The 15,314-nt window shown below is 35.4% G+C and overlaps 1 protein-coding gene across 13 annotated transcripts in view; it reads left to right on the forward strand.

Moving 5' to 3' along the window:
- ARHGAP15 (Rho GTPase activating protein 15) overlaps window positions 1-15,314 on the forward strand; it is a 638,934-nt gene that overhangs the window by 306,018 nt on the left and 317,602 nt on the right. For all 13 annotated transcript variants that reach the window (XR_007078554.1, NM_018460.4, XM_017004500.3 and 10 more), the window contains 2 exons: window positions 165-263; window positions 1,477-1,606. Coding sequence is in view for 12 of the 13 variants with exons in the window: in NM_018460.4 (NP_060930.3) it covers window positions 165-263; window positions 1,477-1,606 (229 nt within the window). In the remaining variant the exon portion in view is untranslated. The remainder of the gene's footprint in view (window positions 1-164; window positions 264-1,476; window positions 1,607-15,314) is intronic.

Raw genomic sequence — 15,314 nt, forward strand, 5'->3', positions numbered from 1 at the left:
GGTTCAAAATGCTCCCAGTTCCCAGAAAGACAATTACTGGAATACAAGAAAATATTTCATTTTATTAAACTGTGTTTTTTAAAAAAGGATTTTTACATGTAAGAGATCTATCTTACATAGTTTCTTTACCTGTCTATTTCTTTTTCTTTTTTTTTTTTTTGCAGATCACAACAGTATCAGGAAATGAGTTCCTTCTACAGTCAGATATTGACTTCATCATATTGGATTGGTTCCACGCTATCAAAAATGCAATTGACAGATTGGTATGTATTTGTTTTGGCTGTTACCTTTATTAATTAAAATGTAGTCATTTAAATCTTATTGCTCAGGCATATAACACACACACTCATTTAAATAGATCCTATGGACTGAGAGGGATTAAGTTCTTTTAGTTTAAATAGAATCTACTAAAAACCTTTTCAGCAGACAGGATTTGTAGAACTGTCGTTTAATTTCTCTCTTTCAAAAATATAGTGCATTCTTTCTTTTTTTCTGAAATAACATAGACATTCATTTACTGGAGGCTGTAAAAAGCACACAAGCACTTAATAACTACTGATTTTTTTTTCATTTTCAGTTTATGCAGTCCATACTACATACTCCTGTAAATAAATAACATATTTAAGACTCACTGTTATAATACCAATAAATAAATAATAACCCTTTGTACTGATTTTTATTATTCTTCCAGCTAAGCTAGATTGTTCTTCTTATGAAAATTACATATCTAGAACTTCATGAAATTATCCTAAAACATACATTCAGAGTATGTTTTCTAAGAATGAACTTATTTAAAACCACTCATTCCATGCTGAGTCTCTAGAACAAACATTTAATTTTATGACACTAATATTTGCAAAATTTTGGGAAGAAATATTCTTAATACGGAATACAACACAATAGTAAAAGATTTTCTGTGTGATTTTCTTGATACTTAATTGCAAGCTTTCATTATACCATTTTGGGATTAACACTTTAAAAAGTAAAATAACAAATTTACTTTTTCCTGTTATTAGTATATTCCCCTTAAAGGGGTGTGTGTGTGAATGTGTGTGAGTGCACATACATACATACACACAGTTTGTTGCCATTGAGGATGGACTCTGGAACCAGACTGCTAGAGTTTGAATTCTAGTTCTATCATTTGTTACCTGTGTGGCCTTAGGCAAATTACTTGCCTATTTTGGCCTCATTTTCTTAATGAGGAAAATAAGGATAATAATAATACCACCTACTCTATAGAATTGTTGTAATGATTAATTGAACTAATGCATGAATAGTGCTTAGCATTTAGTAAGTACCATCATATACATATATAAACTATTATTAGAGTATTGAGCTTAGCATAGAGGACCTATCCTCAAATAATTACCTTACTTCAAATTTCCCCATAAACAGCAAAATTGAACACAAAATTCTATGGTGAATCCTTTCTTTCTAGTAAAATTATTCAGTCTAATTATTTGCTGTTTCCAGCCAAAGGATTCAAGTTGTCCATCAAGAAACCTGGAATTATTCAAAATCCAAAGATCCTCTAGCACTGAATTGCTAAGTCACTACGACAGTGATATAAAAGAACAGAAACCAGAGCACAGAAAATCTTTAAGTGAGTATTTTCTTTGACTTGCTCATTTTAAGTTTGTCTAAATGCAGTGCTTATGAAATATAAATGCATTGAAATGAGATTTAAGCCAAACTCATCATACTCATGGAAGATTCGTAGCCATTTCCTGGCCAGGGATTTGTGCACTGGAGGGCAGTCTGGGCACTTTGCTCACATCATTGTTGGTAATGCCTTTTGAGAAAATAATTGTTCCAAGGTCATGGTCTCTGCTTACAGCAAACCTCTGAATCTCTGAGTAATAGCCATGGTGTTCAGATCAGTGATTGATTTTGAGAGTGGGAAATGTCAAGCATCTCCAACCCTGGTATCCTGACTATTTTATTTGCATACATTAAAGGGTATGAGTGACCACCAGTGTGGTCTAACTTAAGTCAACAGGCTATGCCACTTTCCACACCTTCAGACCACCAGAAACACTTAGAAACGTGCTTTCCAGAGAGGCTGATAGAAAATATGGGATGTGAATTAGATGTTCTCCAAGGTCACACCTAGTTCTAATATTCTAAGAATTAAATTTAGAGTAAAAAGAATGGTCTCACTACTTACACAGTGATCTTGAGTATCTTTCTTAACCATTCCCCAGACTGCTTCTTCCTCAATGAAAAGGGGTTATTAAAATATGCAACACATATCTCACTGAGTTGGTTTGAGTCTCAACCTCCTGAAAGAAAAGGTAGACATCTGGCTGGGCGAGGTAGCTCACGCCTGTAATCCCAGCACTTTGGGAGGCTGAGGTGGGTGGATCACGAGGTCAGGAGCTCGAGATCATCCTGGTCAACATGGCCAAACTCCATCTCTACTAAAACTACAAAAATAAGCTGGGCATGGTGGCACGTGCCTGTAATCCCAGCTACTCAGGAGGTTGAGGCAGGAGAATTGCTTGAACCAGAGAGTCAGAGGTTGCAGTGAGCTGAAATCATACCACAGCATTCCAGCCTGGTTGGCAACAAAGCAAGACTCTGTCTCAGAAAAGGTAGACATCTTTGGAACCAGAGAAAACCTATTTCCCAAAGTCTTAAAAATTATAGTATTTTGGGGGAGTCTTCTACCTGGCTGACCCCAATCTTGCAAATCATCATTTTTTTCCTGCTATTTCCCTCTGACAAAATATCAGTATACTGACATCCTAAACTTTAGAATTTAAAGAGAACTCAGTAAGTTGAGAAGAGCTGCTAATGGAATATATGTGTACATATATACATATATACATACACATACACACGTATGTATGTATGCTAGATGATTATTTGTACGTGTACATATATGTGTGCATTAAGAAATATATGTATATACACATACATGCACACAAAGACTCATACACATATGATAGGGAAGAGAGAAGCTATTTATATGTGATAACATATTTGCCAAAGTTGAATTACTGAAGTCTACAAATCTAGAAATTGCATGAGAATTTAAGAGTAGAAGCACCCTTTTGAAATTAAGTCTTTATGCAAAATCCCATGCCATAATTTTCAACAACTGCTAGACACATTTACTTAGCCAGTTGTGCTAAGTTGGAGTTTAAGATTATCAGTGTTAATGTCTAGAAAATGCATGGTTTATTTGTGGAGAGTTAATGCCATTTCAAAAGACTTTTCCATAATGGTACAGTTTAGAGGTATTTCATTTAAAGAATGTTTTCCTTTCATGCCTGATCATTGTCTTCTTTTACTTCATATGGTTTGAGACATAAGGTAAGATTTCAGAATTGGGATTCAGTTGGGAGTATATATTTAGTGTTAATCATATAGACATTCTGTAGTACATATAAAAGAATATGTGATGCAATGACTAGTAGGTCTGGAATCTTAGATATAATTGCTGGTTCAGAGACCTTAAGATGTTTCTAAAACCTGAGCTATGGAGAAAATAAAGGTTTGCAAAAATGTATTTGAGAAACATTGAGGATAATGAATTCTCTATTAAGTAACAGTCACTTTAAAAGTATTAAGATGCTGCTGAAAAAAAAATCTTAGATAGAACACTCACTACTTCTCTTTAGAATCTATTTTTAATTGGAAAAGACAATTATTTTTCTACTTTGAGCTTAAACTCAATCCTACTTAAAAACAAGGGAGGCCAGGAGTAGTGGCTCATGCCTGTAATCCCAGCACTTTGGGAGGCCAAGGCGGGTGGATCACCTGAGGTCAGGAGTTCAAGACCATCCTGGCCAACATGGTGAAACCCTGTCTCTACTAAAAATACAAAAATTAGCCGGGCATGGTGGCGAGCACCTGTAATCCCAGCTACTCGGGAGGCTGAGGCACAAGAATTGCTTCAACCCGGGAGGCGGAAGTTGCAGTGAGCTAAGATTTCACCACTGCACTCCAGCCTGGGCGACAGAGCAAGACTCTGTCTCAAAAAAAAAAAAAAAAAAAAAAAAAAGGGAAGAGATACATGATTTATTCTATTCATTTCAAAATCTAACTAATTGTACAGTGACTTCATACTCACCTTTTACTTTGAAGTTAAAAAAAAACTAGAAAATATGAAACATTTACTGTGCACCAGGCACTGTTCCAAGTGCTTGTCTTATAGCAATACATTTAATCCTCTCACCAATCCTATGAGGTAGATACTATTAGTTACCTTATTTTATAGAGGAGAAAACTGAGGCATGAAGAACTAAGGTAATTTGTACAAAGACAAGTTATGGAGACATGTTTCAAACCCAAGCAGTCTTATTTTAGAGCCTGTACTTTTAATCATTACATTATAACAAAGTGAACAAGTAAAAGGTAAACTTAGTTTATATCGAACTTAGACTTGGATAGAAATATTATGTTAAAAATAAGATTCATAGAAATCAGTAAACTTGAATCAGGACCCAAAAACTTATTGGCAAAAATAATTAAAACTGGGTGTTTTCTTTCAATTTTGATTTCACTATTAAAATAATAATTTAATCTTTAACACTAGCTCTAATTTTAGAAAATGATTCTTTTCTGTATCTTGGTGAGTATGTATAGTTGTAAGCCTTTTTTTTTAGGGCCAGTATGTTTTTTGCAATGTAGGACACAGTTAATATCCATCTATTACTTTGAATTAAGTTCATTCAATATGTATGTATTCATTTTCATTTGAAAGGCATAATGATTGACCCACCCACACAATATCAAATTAGACCATGCATTTGAAATAGTGATTGACATGTTTTATATTTGATGCTTTGTAAAATATATTTTTTCAAGTAGGAAATACCCTGTGTGAAACCCCTCTGATCTCAGTCCTAGATTTGAACACCCAAACTTAGGTTTCTTAAAACTTGCATTCGCTTTTATGTCACCCTTTGGAGATTAAATAATTATATAGAATCAGAGACTCAACAGTATCCTCTTCCTTATTAGTAGTCTAAGCACAAACTTTATTGTCGGTTTTCTGCCTTTGGCTTCCTGTGCCCTTGATGTTCCCATGAGTTTTGCCGCCAAGATTGTAGACAGATAAAGCCAGAATTACTTTTTTAAAAGGCATGTGAACATCATTAGCAGCTAACAGGTGGTGATTTCGTTGTCCAGTTTGTCTATATAACATGGGAAAAATATGTTCTCTCAATGAGTGAATTCAGAAAGTTATGTTTACATATACTTTTCTTTTAAAAAATATGATTCTAACCTGCCAACACTATTAAGAACGAATCAGATATTTTAAGATATCAGTTGAGTCTAACAGACAAGAAGCCAGAAAATTTAATGCAAGGGCCAAATCACTGTGGGAAACTCAGGACACCAGCCTGGGATGAGAGTAGGAGAGCAGCTCTCCAGGGAGGGCTGTTATGGAAAGTGGAGAGTCAATCAAAGAAGATGTGAACATATTTCTCTGAGGAAAGAGAATTGTCTTCCACTGACAGCAAAGAGGGGGAAGGCCCAAATATAATAAATCTTGCATCAGATAACCTTGGCGAGGTTTCTTAACTTTTCTGAGCTTTACTTTCCACATCTATAAAAATGGGTCTAATACTGTCCTTAAAGGATCGTGTGAGAATTTGAAATTAGACATGTAAATACTTAGCTCATAGCAGGCACTCAGTAAGTAGGAGCTCTTATTATTATCCTCCATGTCCCCAAGCAGATAGCACTGAGACAGGGCTTGAGCCTGGTGGTGGTTGATGAAAGACTGGAGCAGGGCATATAAGCTTGCCATCCTACTCCCTGAGTGTATGAAAGGTAGAAAAAGGGTACCAGAATTGGATATGGGAGTCATAGCTGCAAAAAATCTAAGTACGAGCAGCTGGTCTTTCCCCTGGCAACTCCCATGTAAAAGGGGCAGGTAGGGCATTCTTGGGAGCAGCACACCAGGAAACAGTAGAAAGGAGCCAAGAAACACTCTTGATTCTCCTAAACCCAGAAAAGCATGCCATTCAGAAATTCAAGTTGATGGGAAGGATTCAGCATTAGCCATCTCACTATTCCTTTACACAAAGTTCTAGTTTATTCATTCATACACACATTAATTCTTTTTTATGAAGAAATACAACTAAAGGTATACAACTAAAATTCTTGATTTCACTCATCTGTGCTTTCAATTTTTAAAAAATAACTTTTGTATGTAGGTTATGCTTTAGTAGTAATATATCTCATACCTATCAATTGCTAAACTGTAAAATCCATGAGTGTGGAGACCTTGGATAACTTGAAAATAAAACTGACACTTTAGTATTGGAAATAAGCACCCTGAAATGAACATGAGTTAGAAGACTAAAGTCAAAAGGTAAGAGAGCTAAAAGGAAATGGGTTTTCCTTTAGCTGTCTCTTGATTAAGTTATCATAAAAAACAAATGTGTTCTGGGTGAAATCCTAAATGCATATGTGGATTTCCCAAATCTACGTTCTCTTAATGACATGTGCAATAAGGGTATATGTAATATGTTTCTAATAATTAGGGTATATGTATTTAAATGTGCATTTCCCAGTTCCATATCCCCTTAATGATGTGTGCAATAAGACAACAGAAAGAAAAAACTTGAATTGAGAGAGTTACACAATAAAAATTAAAATGCTACGGACTTTTAACTTGTCTTTGTTTAAAAAATTTGCCTGCAAAGTATCATGACCATGCCAAGTGATGAAAACAAGTTTGATAGAGAAAACATTAATTTTTTGTACTAATCTAAATAATTATAATACTGGTCTTCTACAACTATAAGTAGGCTATGTTCTCAAAATCCAATTGTAAATTGGTTGCTTAGACCTGGTATGTTTTCACAAGGAAACCATGTACCAAGCCACAAAAGCACACTTGAACTTTCTGCAGTCACTTACAATGTTGTTTCTAGGGAACAACTCATTCTGAATTTGCTGCACCTCTGGCCCTGAGAGCTAAGACTTCCCAGTAGCATTGCTTTCGATCTAGTTTCCGGTCTAGATCCCCACTTCTGTACCGTCTCCACCAAAGCGATTAGGAGACTCAGAATGGCTTTTGCTTTTGCTAGGATTCTGGTGAGCCCTGAAAGTCCCCAGTAGTGGCAGGGAGGGAATTTAAAGCCTCCGAGCCGGAAGAAATAATAGAAAAAGGAGAGAATTGAGGACTGGGTAGGCAGCTTTTGTAGCATTAATGGGAAGTGAGTCCTTAGCAAGACAGATGTTCTTTGTAAAAAGTATGTGTAATGACAGATTAAGTCTGGAATTGTCCCAAATATAAACATTTGATGAATCTAGGTGGTGCATAGGCAAGTGATCATGATCCTATTGTTTCATTTTTTTTTGTATGTTTGAAAAGTTCTCCAGTTAAAAATTGAAGTAAACGCACATACCCACACAAAAGTAGGTATGTCCATGTGCCTAATTCAATAAAAGAATATACATATTTTCTGATTATGACCTGAACCTTTCAAAGAAAGATCAAATTTTCTGAATATAAGTTACATTAAGACCTCTTTACATGAAACATTGATAACTCATTGTTTTCCTATTTTCCTCCAAAACCAATATATTTTTTTCCTGTGACCATTGAGACCTTTCTGGGAACTATGTAATTAAGAAAACTTTTAAGATATTTATTATTATCCAAAATTAAAAAGTCACACGAGTTTCTTGGATAAATATGTAATTATCAATTGTTAAAACACATACTGTGAAGCCTGTTCTGGAGGCTCATATAAATACATATTTTAAAGTTTTTTCTTATTAAGAATTTTGTGTAAAACAGTCTAATCCTGCCAATGTATGAAAATAATAAGATGAACAAACCATCTGCCAAGGAAATGAAAACAGTATTAAAATTGCACAGATAAACCATATCTAGTTCTGAAGAAATGGAAGAGCTCTTTCCTGGAAAAACAAAAAAGTCGTGACATTTTTGTAGAATATCATGGGTTATTATATTATCAAGAGGACAAAGTTTTCTGATTTGGGTGAGAGGGTCACTCACCCTTTTTTTTTTTTCCCCAAAATAACTAGCGCCACTCTGGTACCAGTTTTATTCAAAACCCTCTTGAGAAAAATAAACTATTGAGCTAAAATGTGGAAACAAATCACTTCATATTACTATACTTATAAGACAGACAATATCTAAAGAATAGTTGAGTGTCACTTGTCTTTTCAGTTGTTTTTCACAGGTTGAGAGTTACTTATTTCAAAATAGTTGGTAAAGAAAAAAATTGAAAAATTATAAATGACATTTATGTTGTTAAAGCTGCAAGATGTAAACATCATGAGAGGAAAAGAGTAAAAATTAGACACATTTGATAGTCAAGCATCCACATTAATTTATCAGAATAGTATTATGCATGAAGGTCCCAGGCTTCACTATGGCCCTGTGTGACTCTAGCCATTGTTCTGACATATGTTCCCAAGCAGCAGTACCTACTTTTTCTGGGACCCGTAGATTGCACTTTCTTCAAAACATTCAGTTTTCAATGAATCATTTGATAAGAGGACTTCATTATGAGCTGAGCAAAGAATGTCCTGATTAATCTCTTCTTTCCCATCTAAGGGGCTGATCTCGCCCTCTGACCTGTGGATGTCCATTGTCGTGTATCTCATAGCATCAGCTACTCTGAAAGTCCACCTAACCCTCTCAGTGCTCAAGCACTAGATCACCCTATCTTCCTTCTGACCCTGGCAATAACACCATGAGCATATTTCCCCTTAGATGAACTGCATTTAATCAATTTCTGATTTCATTAGGTCAAATGGCATCTTGCTTTCAATAATAGGGCAAATCCAGAGGGCTCTTTGCTCTAACTCTCAAGCAATATTTTATTGGCATTAATACACTACTGTGATTGTAAACAAAAGAAAAAAAAAGATCTTTGGTATCCTCAGAAAGTGTCCTTTTGTTTATTCCATGACTTTAAAATGGGCGTATATTAATGTTTTCTTATAAAGTTAGGCATATAATCATCATTCATTGTTGTCACAGCAGATTTAAAGAATCTTTGCTAAAGCTGACATTTAAGCATTTAAGGTGTTTGTACAGTGAATCCATGTGCAGAGCAAAACATTATTTTGAATGCAAATGATCACCTCTTTCTGTATACAGGATTTATTTGGTCAATTCCTTTTTGTTTCTGAAGTATGGTAACTTACGCTACTTTCCTTCAAAATTCTAAAGAAGTAATTTGCTTTTTGATGGATTTATTTGGATGTCCCAAATAGGCCTAATAACATGCTTGGGGGAAAAAAAAAATCCGTTGTTAACACATGGAATCTTTGAGATTTTCTTGTAAAATAAGTTTCTTATTACTCATAGTATAGCCCTCACTAAACAAAATCAGATATTGCTTTCACCCAAAAGTATTAGATGAACCCAGAAATACCAGATGTTTTCATCAAACTTTAATAAAGTGAGATCTGTAACATTAGGATTCCTAGCTTTCTTCAAGAAATGGCTCATGGATGACTTGAGAAACCTAAAGCAATCTGCCAATACATCTTTCTTTGGTTATTTAAGTAGTACCTGAAATCAGTTGTTCCTGCTACCCAATTTTCCTAATGTAAATAAATATACCCTATTTGTATACAAAATTAATTGGCCTAAAAAGGTAGAGGACTAGATAGGAAATGCCATAACCAAGTAGAAAATATAGGACTGGGATTTTGCTGTCAGATAAGGTCTTCTCCAAAATTGAAGTCAAAGATTAAGAACAATTATTTTTTTTTTTTTTTTTTTTTTTTTGAGAAGGAGTCTCACTCTGTCACACAGGCTTGAGTGCAATGGCGTGGTCTTGGCTCACTACAACCTCCGCCTCCCAAGTTCAAGTGATTCTCCTGCCTCAGCCTCCCTAGTAGCTGGGACTACAGGCTCGGGCAACACCACGCCTGGCTAATTTTTGTATTTTTAGTAGAGATGCGATTTCACTCTGTTGGCCAGGCAGGTATCGACCTCCTGACCTCACGATCTGCCCACCTTGGCCTCCCAAAGTGCTAGGATTACAGGCGTGAGCCGCTGCACCCAGCCAGATTAAGAACAATTTCTAATGACTGCATTGGAATTATTGCTCTTGGAATTAGAGTCCAAGTTTCTGTATAGAAAGCTCATTATGATCTGTGCCCCTTCTCCAGTTTTTTTTCATCACTCCCTGACCCATAATTTATGTTCCAGGTAAATAGTCCCTATAATACCTGATGCACACTGCTACATGCTGACTTTTACCTTGAAATCAGGGTTATCTCTTTACAAAGTTAACATCCTTTAGGACTCAGCCCAGATCATACTTCCCAATATTCCCATCATCCATTCTAACACCCTATTTTATTTGAAAGAGTTACTGTGATTCATAGTTATTCTTGCAGCTCTTCTGTGGGCTCTGACTTGGAATTTTCAAGTTTCTATTGGAGGCAATAAAAGAAAAAGAAACTCTGTAATATATAACAAATAATTACAGTAATTTTGATTATTTTTATAAGACTGAGAATACTTTTCTCTAGTGTCAGCTTATTTGTAAAAATCCAGTTTAACACAAAAGTTATCAAAGTGTTAGCCCTCAGAACCCTGTTCAAAAGGTTGTATGAGATTGTGTAAGAAATTTGAGTCTGAGAGTCAGAAAATTTGAGTACAGTTCTTAACTCCAAGATATACAGCCATATGACTTTGACAAGTTTCTTAAGTTTCTTGAAATTGAGTTTCCAGATAAATATAATATATATTTTATATAATTATAAAATATTATAAATGTAAATGTTGATTATCTAAAAAGATTATATATGTATTTGATCTAGAGAAAATGTATATAGTGGATCTAAAATATATCAAATAACTTTGTAGATTATATATTATGTTATAAAATGATTTCCATCTGGGTAAATTCTGAGTAAAATAATCATGACTTTTGTTTGTTTACTATAAATCTACCAATTTAGAAATATAGCAAGAATGTACTTTTGCAACTGTTGAAACAGTTGCCAAAATGCAGCATAAACAAATGCGTAATTTTTTGAAGGCTTAATTTCTTAATATCTTCATTATTTTATTGACTCTGGTTAACATATATCCTTTTACCTTTTGTTTTCTTAAGGGATCCTAAGTGTCATGGGGAATAAATGCTTGGTTTTGTCATTCCTGAGTGTGAGCCTGACACGATGGCAATCTCTAGAGATTAAAGTTTGTCAAGTGTCTGTTGCCATTTCCATTCTTTTTTTTTTTTATTTAAGTTTTAGGGTACATGTGCACAATGTGCAGGTTAGTTACATATGTATACATGTGCCATGCTGGTGCGCTGCACCCCTTAACTCGTCATCTAGCATTAGGTATATCTCCCAATGCTATCCCTCCCCCCTCCCCCCACCCCACAACAGTCCCCAGACTGTGATGTTCCCCTTCCTGTGTCCATGTGTTCTCATTGTTCAGTTCCCACCTATGAGTGAGAATATGCAGTGTTTGGGTTTTTGTTCTTGCAATAGTTTGCTGAGAATGATGATTTCCAATTTCATCCATGTCCCTACAAAGGACATGAACTCCTCATTTTTATGGCTGCATAGTATTCCATGGTGTATATGTGCCACATTTTCTTAATCCAGTCTATCATTGTTGGACATTTGGGTTGGTTCCAAGTCTTTGCTATTGTGAATAGTCCCGCAATAAACATACGTGTGCATGTGTCTTTATAGCAGCATGATTTATAGTCCTTTGGGTATATACCCAGTAATGGGCTGGGTAAAATGGTATTTCTAGTTCTAGGGCCATTTCCATTCTTATAGAAAATAGTAAAATAATACAAGGGTAGAATTTTGACAGAGAGTTATGTAAATTCACTTAAAAGCAAGGAAAGATTTTATTTAATTTTAATGTTTAAATAATACATATTAGAATCAACTCAGTGTCATGAAGCATCTGGTGATAAAAAGATGGGTTTTGTTGACTAAAGTAAACATATTATACAAATCACATGGATATTGAGCCACTTATAAGGAGTAAACTGAAAACCACTGAAAGTCTGGTCTCACCAAACTATAGTGTATTGATCAGCTGGCAAGGGATGCCCACCATGTTCACTGTATCAAAAGGATTGTGATATCTGAGTTCTGGGGAGTAATCCTAGCTGACCTAGCTTCAGTCATTAGCTTAAACCAGGACCACTCTATTCCATTAGACTGCAAGTGCCTGGAGGTATAAGCCAAGACCTTCTGCTAATTACCCCTCCCTATCCCCATCACTCAGAACAGAGTCTGAAACCTAGTGGTGTTCAGAATTATTAGCTTGGCTCAAAAGTAATTGCAGTTTTGCCATTTTTTAAACCTCGTTTACTTTTGCACTGACGAATAAATGTCTGAGTGAGTGAGGAAACAAGTGACCGAGAGCATGAGAGGGGAACCCTGAAGAAACCCTTACAGATTTTATGCATGAGGAATGAAGGGAAAGGCTGAACTGTGAGGCACTGTCCTGTTGATGGGTGTTTTGGTTTGGGTTCCTCCAGAAGCAGTCCCTGAGACAAAGATTTGATCACAGGTAATATATTTGGAAGTGATCCCTGGACACACATAGGTAGGGGCTGGCAGAAGAGAGCCAGGGAAGAGAACATACCTATGAAGGAGAATAAAAGGTTTATGGAGTTTAATGCTGCTGTGGAACTCTAGCAGTTTTTCAGATGGAGAAACAAGGAATGACAGAGAAGAGCATGGATAGACTTTTGTACAGGAAGGAAAGAACCATAGAGCATAAAATAGTTGAAGAGCACAATAGATTGGTGAGGCTGGAATGTGCAAAACATTGGGGCAACAACTGGAGATCAGGTTGGAAATGAAGAGTGAACCATTGGCAAAGGGTCTCTCACGGAATGCTAAAAAATTAGGACTTTTCACTATAAATAATGGGAGCCTAGTGAAAGACTTCAATGCAGGCAAGAGACATGAACAGATTTGATTTTTAGAGTAATAATTTTGGGGAAAATGTGGAGAATGGCAGAGATAGGTAGCACAGAGTGAGAGATCAGAGGTAAGAAGATGAATTCAGAGATCAGAGGTAAGGAGATGAATTCAGAGACTATTAGAATAGACCATGTACCATATGCTGCAGGTCCAAACTAGGCAGTAGGAATAGGTGAAGAAGAAAGATTCCAGAGATATCTGACTTGATATTGATAGGTTTTCTTGACATATATTGTAAGTCTTGGCAGCTCCCAAATACCCATTGCCTCTGTGGTTTGGAAAACAACCATCAGGATGCCAAGGAGCTAAGCAGAATCTCATTCTTTCAGGAGCCTACTAGATTCTTGTTACTCTAGATATAATCCATGGACCAACAATGACAATATCACCTAGGAGCTTGTTAGTAAATATGGCCTCTCCAGCCCAACCCCAAACCAACTGAACTGAATCTGCATTTTAACAGGTGATTCCCATGCACATTAAAATTTGAAAAAAACATTACCATATGACATAAATAACTTCTTTAAAGAGGTTTTTGAAAGTCCAGAGCCAAAGGGTGGCCTTTGGGACTTGGACAAAAGACCTACTCATATAAAAGAGCTATCTTGTCGGCCTTTGTGTAAAATAACCCTGCATATGGTTATTATATTGGTCATGCTATGACAATGCATGATTTTGAATGGTGGCTATTTAATCTCATCAATCCCTTCCAACCCATGATTACGGACTAAATGAGAAAGAACCAAGACTTACACTGCCTTGTAACTTTTGCCTGTGCCACACCTAAGTCAGAAATTCTGAACTCCCACATCAAAAAGTCAACAGTCCCAGCCAAAGAACAGCAACAATATCAAAAAATGATTCTGAGCCTAAACTACCCTCACCAAAACAGACAAACAAGAAACCAAAGCTCCAAGCAATTCCCTGGAAATTATCCATTAATTCCCTGGATAGCTCAATGTGCAAAATCCATTTGAAATTCTACTTATCCCTTATCTTCCATTTGACTCTTCTTTTCGGAACACATAATCTCACATGTAGCCTCTTTTTGTTATTTCCCTTCTCAAGCAAGAATAATAGTATTTGATTGCTTAAATTTCTTTATTTTTATGTTGTTCTTGAGTACTTGAATTCATTTCCCATTGGCCTTTCAGGTTAGATGTTAAAATTCTGGATGAGCAGCAACGTAGCTGTTTTACTCGTAGACTAAGTTTATTTGCTGCACCTGCCAAAAGAATCAAGGCCCACCAGGCTGCACTTCAGTCAAGCTGTTTTGAAAAATTGCAAAGAAAACAAAAGTAGGCCCACAATTTCACAATTTAGTTATCAAAAAATAGAGGAAAGATTCAAAATAAAGTCTGATTAACCCTCTTAGTAGGGTGAGATTTCACTTACTGGGAAGAACTGATAATGATTATTTCTGAAATAAAACCTCATTTTTTTTCATGTCTACCTTTTTTTAATTATAGGAAATGGAAACCAAAATGGGCAAATAATCATTCTTTTCTCAGTAAGAATCTTTCTCATAAATTTGCCCCTAAAATGTCCAGTCTTTTAAAAATGTTTTGGACAGTAATGAGACAGGTCTGAAAGAGATGCCTTAAAATTTTAGTAGTGCCTAGATTCACTTCACTTATTTACCTTTCTTACTTTAAGACAGCTTACATAAGAATAATTAATCTTTTTTTTTTTCCTAGTGAGTACCTGGGTTTGTTATTGAGGTTTCATAATTAATCTTTTTTTTTTTTTCCTAGTAGGTACCTGGGTTTGTTACTGAGGTTTCATGCTTTTTTTTTTTTTTTTAAATCGGGCATAACCATAATTGATTTCCACGGAAGGGTTTGGCTGAAGACCCAAAGAATTTTTGCTTAACTCATTTTTATTGAACGAAATCCAGAATTTTAGTCAAGAAGCATTAGATATTAATCACATATGAGTGGGGTCATTAAAATTTCCTTTACCTTCCAGAACTGCAGGTCATTATGGAATCATAAGAAGCAGTGAGCTCACTTAATCTTTACAATTACATAAAAGTGATTATTTTCTTAAGTCTTACAAGAAGCTCTTAACTATTAGTTGAAGAGCATGTTGGAATATTAGAACATCTGTGTTGTGTTATTATAGATGTGACTTGTGAATTAAAAAAAAATTCTCTGACTCAAAACTCTTAGAAGTTACCCTTTCCAGCTTGAATAGTTTTAATTCTTTAACACAGTTTGGGAGTATATATTTTTTACCTCGCAAGTAGAGACCTTGTTGCTGAAATATAAATTCCAGTATCATTTCTTAATTATTACACTCTCAACTTTATAGAAAATCAGAGGAACTTCACAGGTTCTAAAGATTAGGAAAAAAAGAAGAAGAAAATTAGAGGAGAAATGCAA

Source organism: Homo sapiens, chromosome 2, assembly GCF_000001405.40.
Source record: "Homo sapiens chromosome 2, GRCh38.p14 Primary Assembly".
Taxonomy (NCBI): domain Eukaryota; kingdom Metazoa; phylum Chordata; class Mammalia; order Primates; family Hominidae; genus Homo; species Homo sapiens.